General features: G+C 49.5%; 4 annotated features.

Annotated features, from left to right (window-relative positions):
* Positions 545–784: an enhancer, noted in NCBI's record as "active region_5220". NCBI's record gives its function as "activates an Ori minimal core promoter by ATAC-STARR-seq in GM12878 lymphoblastoid cells {active_cell/tissue: GM12878}" and the evidence as "EXISTENCE:reporter gene assay evidence [ECO:0000049][PMID:35858748]".
* Positions 1,255–1,304: an enhancer, noted in NCBI's record as "active region_5219". NCBI's record gives its function as "activates an Ori minimal core promoter by ATAC-STARR-seq in GM12878 lymphoblastoid cells {active_cell/tissue: GM12878}" and the evidence as "EXISTENCE:reporter gene assay evidence [ECO:0000049][PMID:35858748]".
* Positions 1,915–2,134: an enhancer, noted in NCBI's record as "active region_5218". NCBI's record gives its function as "activates an Ori minimal core promoter by ATAC-STARR-seq in GM12878 lymphoblastoid cells {active_cell/tissue: GM12878}" and the evidence as "EXISTENCE:reporter gene assay evidence [ECO:0000049][PMID:35858748]".
* Positions 2,375–2,484: an enhancer, noted in NCBI's record as "active region_5217". NCBI's record gives its function as "activates an Ori minimal core promoter by ATAC-STARR-seq in GM12878 lymphoblastoid cells {active_cell/tissue: GM12878}" and the evidence as "EXISTENCE:reporter gene assay evidence [ECO:0000049][PMID:35858748]".

Genomic DNA, 10,196 nt, shown 5'->3' with positions numbered 1-10,196 from the left:
GGAGGCATCTGCCAGGCTGGTAGAAAGGAAATAGAAAAAGAAAACAGGCCGAGAGCGGAGGCTCAGGCCTGTAATCCCAGCACTATGGGAGGCCAAGGCGGGCGGATTGCTTGGTTGCAGTGAGCCAAGATCGTGCACTACACTACAGCCTGGGTGACAGGGCGAGACTCCATCTTAAAAAATCATAATAAATAAAATAAAAATACAAAAATTATCCAGGTGTGGTTGTGCATGCTGTCGTCCCAGCTACTCGGGGCGCTGAGGCAGGGGAATTGCTTGAACCTAGGAGGTGGAAGTTGCAGTAAGCTGAGGTCACACCCCTACACTCCAGGCTGGGTGACAGAGCGAGACTCCGTCAAAGAAAAGAAAAGAAAATAGAAGAGAAAAGAGAAGAAAGAAAATGGGCAAAAGCAACTAAAGGTACCACAGATCAAAACCTTTAAGATCAGCATTGGGTACACCATTGCATATCTGCTCTGGGCAAATCCCTTTCTGGGCCTCAGTCTCCCCATCCGTAAAATGAACAGGTTTTACCAAGGGCTCTGAGGGCTTATGATTCTCCAGGAGTTTCCTTATGTGAGGCCTTTCTGTCCCCAACCATACAGATCAGATGAGGTGTCATCAAAGTCAAGACTCCAATTTCTAGGGTTTGTGGGTTATCAGGCTTTCCTGCCACAAACTTTCCTGCCACGAACCTCCTGCTAGGCTCCTCAGGGGGAGTTCACTACTGTGGCTGTCTGGGCCGAGCCCCCAAGAAGAAACAAAACTCTCCAGGGTCTGGTGCAGAGGCTGTGGCCCAAGGTCTGCTTGCTGCCTAAGGAAGATATGAAAAGGAAGCCTGGCTCTGGGTGAAACGGAAGTGTCTGAGGTCTGACAGTTGCTCTCAGCATGGTCTCTGCAGCCAGGAGGGAAGTAAAACTGTCTGGGCATCTGGTAGTTTCTACCCTGAGAGTCCACAGGACAGTGACAAGTGGGGCCTGGTGCAGGCCTGTTCTCTGGTCCAGAGCCCTAGCTTAGGCCAGAGACAGTCTTTGGAGAGATGCTGGCCCAAAGATTTGGAGGGAGGGCAAAGGAGAATACTCTGAAGCTGGTTCATGACCTTAGGCAAATCTCTGTGCCTCTTTGGGTCCAGTTTCTCCATTTGCAAAAATGGAGTTTGGGCTAAATTTGCCTGTGCAATAAGGGTTTCTGGAATGGTGGGCACTGGGGATACAGAGACAATTTGGTTACAAGGAACCTGGATTGTTACCCTGCTGGCAAGGGACTCACAGCCTGGTAGGACATAGTTACAGAATCATTGGTTAATTGTGATTATCAATGCATGTATAGGTGCCGAAAAGCTGTGGACATAGAGCATTAATTCAGCATTCATCCAGAGATCCAGGGAAGGTTAAGCAACTTGCCCAAGGTCATATAGATATTAAGTGGTCCACCTGGGGCCAGAGTCTTGAAAGGAAGGGGAATTCAGAAGAGGACATGGCTAAATAGAAGTCTGGAAGACCAGTCTGCTTGTGCTTGCTGCTGTCATCAAGATCTGAACAAAGTTATGGAGACCCAGAGGAGGGGAGATTAATTCTGACTTAGGAGAAGGAGGAAGACTTCACAGAAGCAGAGGTTTTGAGCTGGGGTTTAAAGGGCAAATATGAGTTTATCAAGTACAGAAAGGGAGAAGGGTGTTAAAAGCTGAGGGAACAGCATATTCAGATGTGTGATGTTGCTAAAAAGAGCCTGATGAGTTGCTGGAAAAGTTGTCTGTGTGTGTTTGTGCGTGTGTATGTATGTGCGGTATGTTAGGAACAAAGAGTACCTAAAATGGGAGGACTGAGAGATGAGGTTTCATAGTCTGGCTGGAATCACACAGTGAAGGGCCTTGAATGTGTTTGGAGGGCAGTGGGCAGCCATAAAAGGGTCTTAAGCCACGGATGCATGGTCAAAATAGCCTATTAGCAGTCTTGCTCGGGCTGCTAGGAGGGCAGAGGACCAAAGTACAGGGCTGGGGCCAGGCAGAAACAACTGTAAAGAGGCAGTGGCAGAGGATTGAGGGTGTCAGGTGTCAGGCCTAGCCCCTGTCAAGAAATAGAAACTTTTCAAGAGACTACATAGGTGTGGAGGAAACAAGAATTGAAACCTGAGCCCAGCTGTGGCTGTGGTCTGGGCAGGTGCCGTAAGCAAGGGAAGTGAAAGGGTTGGGGTGACTTCCAGTTGAAGGAGGGGGATGGCTTGTGGGGGATGCTAGGGGCCTGTCCTCAGGCTGGAGACCTGTTCCAGGACGGGGCAGGGTAAGGGGCTATGCCTGACCAAGCCCCTGCCTCTTGTTCCTGCCCTCAGAGATCCCACTTCCTTCTGCTAGGCCTTAACTCTTTCTCCTGAGATATTCCTTCCCTACTCCCCACCCCTCCCAGTGTTCCATCCCACCCTTTCTAGCATCCCATGGTTCCTATCCAGGTCCTGTAGGCCCTCCAGCGAGGCTGCCCCGAGCAGCTCAAGTTCCTTGGCTTCTCCTACACCAACCTGCACTGCTCATGCTGCCTGAGCAGTGGTCTGACCATGTTTTGCCTTGAGGCCTGTTTTATTCTGTAGTGTTGGTTCACCAAACTAGTCACTGTTACTTCACTGTCACCTCACTGCAGCTGCAGGTGCCCCTGTCTCATTGGGCTCTGCCCACAAGAGCTCTTGATAAGTCAGAATCAGACCCTCATGTGCCCAGAGAAGCTAGCATTGAGTATGCCTGGCCCAAAGCATGAACTTGGGGAGGGGCTGTTCATGGGCTGCGCTGATGAGTTCTTTGTTCTGGGGCAAATCTTGACATGATTGTGTCTGTTTTTTTCATTTGTTCGTTTGTTTGTTTTTTTGAGACAGAGTCTTGCCTCATTGCCCAAGCTGGAGTGCAGGGGCACCATCACAGCTCACTGCAGCCTGGAGCTCCTGGGCTAAAATGATCCTCTCACCTTAGCCTTGTGAGTAGCTGGGGCCACAGGCATGTGCTGCCACGCTTGGCTAATTTTTTATTTTTTGTAGGGGTTATGAACCACGAGGGGTGAATTCCTTCCTGCTGGTCCCCAAATACCTGACCCTCCACCTGGATCTGCCCATTCAGATCAATCATCTCCAGGTGCAGGGTCAGGTATTTGGGGACCAGCAGGAAGCAATTCACCCCTAATGGTTCAGATGAAGAGACTTTAATGAGGGGACTACTGTACTGAGGTGTTGGCAGGGTAAGAGAACAAAAAAAAGGACGTTGAGGCACCCACCCAGAGGCTGGCAACAGTGGAAAAGTCTTACGGCCCAGCACTCAAAGGGGTCAGGAATCATGTCCAGACCGAAGTGGAAGCCAGTTGGCAAGAAGGCCTCATGAGGGAGCCCACAGAGGTCTGCCTCCCAGGGCACAGTGCAGGGTGTGGGTGTGGGTGCAAATGGAGACTAACGGTCTCCAGATATGGCTGAAAGATTCTCACCCAGATGGAATATCTGGAAGATGCCTCTGGCCTTGATGCAGTCACTTCTCTGTGATCGGTGCTGGTTTGGAGGTTTTTCCAGCTGTCCCAGAGAGAACAGGTGAAGCTTTACTTTCAGAGTAATTCCGGTACCATCTAGAAAGCATGTTCTGGTCTTGATAGTGACAGACTAGAGAGTGACAGAGGCATGTGGGCCTCAAGGGTACAGAATTATCCCAATATACAGAGTGACAGAGGCACGTGGGCCTCAAGGGTACCGAATTATCCCAACATATATAGTGACACAGGCCCAGAGAGAGTCAGAGCTGTGCCAAGGGTAAACAGGCCCAGGGCAGAACATAGTAGAACACGGTGGAGGGGAGATGCTGTGAGCTCATGTTGGAGAGGTACACAGCATCCAGATTATGGAGTTAAGGCCACACAGCTAGAGAGCAGCAGGGCCAAAGGTCCAACTGGTCAGTCTGAATTGGAACTTGACTCAAGCTCTTAACCAAGACCCTAAGCTGACCCTGTAGAGAAAAGAGAGAAGGGTGTTAAAAGCAGAGGGAATAGCATGTTCAGATGCATGAAGTTGCTAAAGAGCCTGATGAGTTGCTGGAAAAGTTGTGTGTGTGTTTGTGTGTGTGTACATATATGCTGTGTCTTTGGAACAAAGGGTACCTAAAATGGTAGGACTGAGAGATGAGGTTATGTAGGCTGGCTGGAGTCACACAGTGAAGGACCTTGAATGTCAGGTTAAAAAGCTTGGGCTAAATTTGGAGGGCAGTGGGCAGCCATAAAAGGGTCTTGAGCAGTGGGTGCATGGTCAAAATAGCCTATTAGCAGGCTTGCTTGGAAGCTGATGTGCCTGTTTGTTTGTTTGAGATGTGCAGCTTCTAAGTGCACATCTACTTGGAAGCTGAGTGCCCAGTGTGCAGACAGGAAAGGTACTGGAGTTAGTGTGACCAAGCCCAGGGTATCTTGTCTTTCAGACACACCCCATCTTCTCCTTATGGACCACTCACTCACAAACCTCCCCCGGTCACAGGCTCAGCACAGCAGGTGAGGTTATAGGCTGAATATGAGCAAAGGACAGGCCTGTGCAGGCCCTTGGGCACATCCTCCCTTAGGTTGCTGACTGGGCCTTGTATTCCATGACCTGGCTGCCCACACTTAATGTTCCACTACTGTTAAACCTCTGGGTCTACAGACCTTGAAATCCATCCATCTAGTGTGCCTGTTGGGTGCCACAAACAAGATCTCCTCCCAGAAGTCTACGGGGATGGGGACATTGATAGGATGAGTGAGATAGCCAATATTTGTGGAGTGTGATAAAACCATAAAGGACTACTGCTTTTTAAAATTGGGAGCAGAGCCAGGTGCGGTGGCTCACACCTGTAATCCCAGCACTTTGGGAGGTCAAGCTGGGCGAATTGCTTGAGCCCAGGCATTCGAGACCAGCCTGGGCAATGTGGCAAAACCTTGTCTCTACAAAAAACAACTACAACAAAATTAGCTAGGCATGGTGGCATATACCTGAAGTCCCAGTTACTCAGCAGGCTGCGGTGGGAGGACTGATTGAGCCCAGGGGGTCAAGGCTGCAAGCAAACTGTGATTGCACAACTGCACTCCAGCCTGGGTGAGAGAGCAAGACCCCATCTCAATCAAACAAACAGGAAAGTAAGACAGAAGGAAGGAAGGAAGGAAGGAAGGAAGGAAGGGAGGGAGGGAGGGAGGGAAGGAAGGAAGGAAGGAGGAAATTGTGAGCAGACATTCAAGAGGGCCACCCAAGGCTACACCATCTACCTCATTTCACAGGATTCTCTATCCAAGAGAAATATGGATAGAGCCATGTTTCCAAACGTGGCTCAGGCCCATTCAGCTTGTGGTTTTCGCTCTCTCTGTCCCTCCGCAGGGAGTGCCTGCCTCCCATGCATCAAGGCCTACTTCCAATGCAGCCCTCGTGGGCCCCTCCTTTAGACAGAGGCAGTCTTCCCCCACTTAGAACAACCACAGCACTTTGATTTTGTGCTTTGGAATTACTCAGACTCAAACAATCATTAGGGAATTCTATATCTTGCCTCTCCGTCTAGATTGAGGGTACCTGTTAATTCAACTTTTCATTCTCCCCTCCTAGAATACTACAGGTACAGAAATCATTTGCTCAATTAAATGGTGGCAGCCCAGTTCCCATGAGGAAGGTCTGGGTGACTCTGGTAATTGTGATGGAGCGGTTAACCTCTAGACACTGGGGCAGGACCATCTGTGTTCAAATAGCCTACCTCTTACTAATTGTGTGATCTCAGGCAAGTGACTTAGCTCCATTCTTGCAATCAAGACCATTGAGTGTTGTGAGAATTAATGGGTTAACACAGTCAAAGCCCTCAGAGCTGTGCCTGGTACCCCCTAAGCATTCAAGAAATGTCAGCTATTATTATTACAGCTATTATTAGGAGCCAGCCGGGTATGCTTATAAACAATTTCCCACACCCAGCAAAGCTGGAGCAGACACATACACTGGCTTAACCCACAGCCACACTTGGAAATGGGGGAGGGTAGGGAGCTGTAACTCTATTTTAGAGATGAGCAGAGGCTCAGAGAAGTCAGAAGCATTCATTCATTTAACAGGCATTTATGGTGCGATTTCCACATGTCAGGCACTGCCTCTCCTCCCACTTCAAATTCAGTGAATCCTCAGAGTGGGGCTGGAGGCTAGGGACAGAGGACTATGTATTTTAAACAAGCACCCCCTGGTGATTCTCAGCTTAGGCAAGTTGGAAAGATGATTGGATTGTAAGGTCCTAAGGCAAGCATCTTGTCATGTTCCAAGTTTGGACCTGGGTTTTATGGGGGATATCATTTTTTGGTGGCAGATTAGTTTAGCAGTTAACAGCACAGACCCTGTAGCCTGGTTAATTGGGTATACATCTCAGTTTGCCACTGGCTGCATGACCATAGGCATACCTAACCTGTGAATGCCTCATCTGTAAAATGAGGCTAGTAATAGTACCTACCTCAGAGTTGTGAGAATTACATTAGTTTTTTATGCGAAGTGCTTGGAAGGCTGTCTGCCACATAGTAACTATTATAAAGCATGAGCTATTATTATTAATGTACACAGTGTAGACAAGCATCAGACAGAAGGCCGGGGGTGGTAGATTTGACACTTCTTACCCCACGATTGGCTCTGCCTGTAGCGTTGGCAGTGTCTGTCTCTTCAGGGAGGCTCGCCACCTGCTCCTTTCCGCTGGAAGAGCTTTCCTGAGTTGGGGAATTCCCTCCCATGGCGCCCGACAGCAGCTCCTAGCATTCTGATGCCATGTGCTCTGCCCACAGCAGCATAGTGAGAATTAGATCACATCTCGGGCCAAGGCTGGACTGGGAGGACAGGCAGGTGTAGGGGTTGGAAGTGTCCACTTACGAAGGCTGCAAATGGGAGGAGGAGTGCAGACCCTGGGGAGGCTCCTCTCCACACCCTAGGCCAGCTTTGGCTGAGGGTGGTGCCGCAGACAGGGGAAGGGCGGATGCCCACGGAGGACAGGCGGGATGCCAGGGTGTCTGCCAGCCCTCCAGGACACTTATTTTGGCCTGCTGCCCTCGGGCAGGGAGCAAGCAAGTGTATTTTGTTTTGGCATTAACTCAGCAGGCTGTGGGAAAACAGGCAGGCAGGCATCCTGAACAGGGCCTGCTCCCTTCACAGGCCAGCCCATGGTGGTGACAGAACTGCCACCTCTGCATCCTGCTGTCCCTCTCCCACAACTCTCCTCTCTCTCCCCTGATCCCTGCCTGGCCCTCCTTACCCAGCTCAGCCTGAAGGGTCCTTTCCCTGAAAGGGGCTCACAGACTTGGTAGCATCCCATACCTCCCAGGCTAGGCTCTGGAGAAACTCCCTGGTGGAACCCCTGGTGTTACAGATGAGAAAACCCGGGCTAAGGGAGAGGCAGGGACTTTCCAGGTCCTCACAATGAGTAAGGAGCAGAACTAAGATTCTAGTGGGGCTCAATCTCCCCCATGGAAATTCCTCTTTTTGTGGTTTATTTTTTAACTTACAAATAAAGCCATAACAAAATGACGGGAAACTGAAGGAAAACTCAACAAAGGAAACACACTTGTGGGCCAGCACAGTTGCAGGCACTTTACATAAACATTCCCATTTGATTCCCACTGCAACCCTGCAAAGAGCCATTATCTCTCCTTTATAGACAAGGAAACCTGGCTGAAAAGAGGTTTCAAGACTTGATCAAAAACTCTAAGCTTGGCAGAGGAGAAATAGACATCTAACCCAGGTTTGCTTGACCTCAGACCCCTGTAACCTCATCCCTCCACCAAAAGTATTTTACTCATTGGTGCCTAATCACAGTGCAGCTCATGGCGGAAGGTGCTGATCAGCGTTCAATACAGGTGGTCACTCAACCTTCCCTGATGTGTCCTAGGATCAGCAGTTACTTGTTTATGTGGCTCCTCAGCCCTTGCAGACCATTTACCTGTTATTTCATTTAACCTGCACAGCCCTCCAAGAGGAAGACAGGATGGAATTTATTATTCCTATTTTATAGATGTAGAAACCAAGGTTGAGAGGACAGTGATGCGCTAGAGGTCACACTCAGTGAGTACCTGGCAGAGATAGAATTAGCACCGTGGTTTCCTGCCTTGTAATGTTAAAACCATGTGCCTATCAGCTCCTACCATAGCCCTGGGACTGACTGCTCATTTACCGTACACCCCCACCCCTGCCACCCAAAGTTGTAATATTCCCTGGTAGGGGCAACACTTGACAAGATAATTCCTGGTCCCAGTGCCTGCTTCTTAGGGACTTGCCTCTGGCCTTAGATCTCTGCTACCACCTGGTAGGATCTGGGTCCCTATGACCCTCCTGGCCCTGCATGTTTCACTGCTGTGACCTTGGTCTCTGTATTGAGATTGGGAGCTCCTGGTGGGCAGCTCCTCACCTCAGAGACCTGCTTATGACTAAGCCCAGGATAAGGGCTTGTTGAGTGATACTATGGAATTCAAGGCCTAGTGCCTTGAACAAACTCACTATGTGTCTTAAGGAGAGCCCCTGCTCTCTTCTGGTGGCCACCAATCTTGAAGTCTCATTTACCTGTGCTGGGATTCTGTCCTGAGAGCTGATAGTGGAAGAGACTGGCACACTCTCACATCAGGCTGGCAGGAGGCTGGTGTTGAGGGAATTAGCTCAGGGAGCAAAGGCATGGGTAGGGAAAGGTGACTAGGGGTAGGAAGGAGATGAATGGGGATGGGGTCCATAGACCACACTGTCTGCCGCAGCATCCCCAGCTGGACTTGGTGGGGCCCAGGCAGGGAATAGCTGGCATCCAGACGTGCTAACAAGTATTCCTGAGCAGTCTGTGTCAATGCAGGTGGGGGATAATGACACAGAGGAAGACAGAGTAGAGAGAGCTGATGGACCCCAACTGCAGGAACGGTCAGGGATGCTTTGGTGCAGTGTGGGCAGGGGGACTGGCAGCTACTTTCTCTGAAGAGAGCCTTTGACGAAGTCAAACTGTCCTAGGTGCGTGCTCTGGATGGGGAGTAGTGTGCTACTCATGTTCTGGCCATGCTAAAGGGCCGCTGTATACTTTGTCTCCCTGCCAGTTTTCCCAGGAGCCCTGGAATATCAGAACAGCTGATCTTCTGATACCCATTCATATACCTGCTCCAGGCCAGTTTTTGATCCTAGCTCTGACTTAACCTTAGAATCATATTCCTAATGAAATGGGAGACTGCACTGCAGCATGCTGGAGGGAGAGCACAGCTTCAGAGCCAGGGGCCAGCCCTCCCTTTCCTTCACTAGCTGTGTGACCTTGGGTAGGTCATTTCACTTCTGAGCTGCAGCCTGTGCAATGGGGTTATATGTATTATGAGGAGTTGTTGTGAATGTTGGAAACAATGTAAATAACACGCCTATTTTAATGTCTGGAACATGGAAGAGGCAAAATAAATGGCAGCTGTTATTAATTTCTTTTCAGAGTGAGATCCCATCTGTGGTCTCCTTGATGGAAGGGAGCCAGAACCTGTTTGCACAGCCCCAGGGACAGGGAGCTCACTCCTTCCAGGGGTAGCTCTGCCTGGAAAAGTTCCTTCCTGAGATGCAGCTAACACCTGTCCCAGTTTTGTCTCTGGGGCCATAGTGCCTGCTGCTCTGCACCATTTCCCCAAAGAATCTCAAGCAATGCTACTGGCAACACAGCGCTTGCCTGCATTGCAGGAGCAAGGCTCTGGAAGTCCCCAACCCTGTTCAAAATGGTACATTTCAAGTCAGGCTTACATAAGTCACAGAAATCCCTTCCCTGGTCCCCTAGAGTCTGGAACATAATGGATTGTATCCTCCTGGGTCTGCTTATTTTCCTGCGTTAGGAACTCTCCCAATTCCTTTGAACATTCTTCATACACGAACATTCCTCATCGGACAACTGGGTTATGGTCTGAAGTCTATCATGTCAGGGCAAGTCACTTATCCCCACTGAGCCTCCAGTTCTCCATCAGTAAAAATGAAGAAACGAATACTATCTCATGGGTAAAGATTAGCTTGGAAAAGTAATATGAAAGTTTAGGGTTTGGAAGAGACACTTGGTAAGTATTAAAACAATTTTTTTAAATCACAGTTTTGAAATAGGAGTTAGTAGGTAAGCCCATCTGGTATTGCCCTTAGCTCTTTATAACACTTCCAAAGGAAATCATTCCAGAAAGTCAGTGCCACTCCTGGCTTCAGAACGGTGGCAAATCAGGTAGAGGATGCCCTCC

The sequence above is a fragment of the Homo sapiens genome, chromosome 11 (genome assembly GCF_000001405.40).
Source record: "Homo sapiens chromosome 11, GRCh38.p14 Primary Assembly".
NCBI classification, from domain to species: Eukaryota; Metazoa; Chordata; class Mammalia; order Primates; family Hominidae; genus Homo; species Homo sapiens.
The sequence above is the reverse complement of the archived record's forward strand: the minus strand, read 5'-3'. Positions and strand labels throughout refer to the sequence as shown.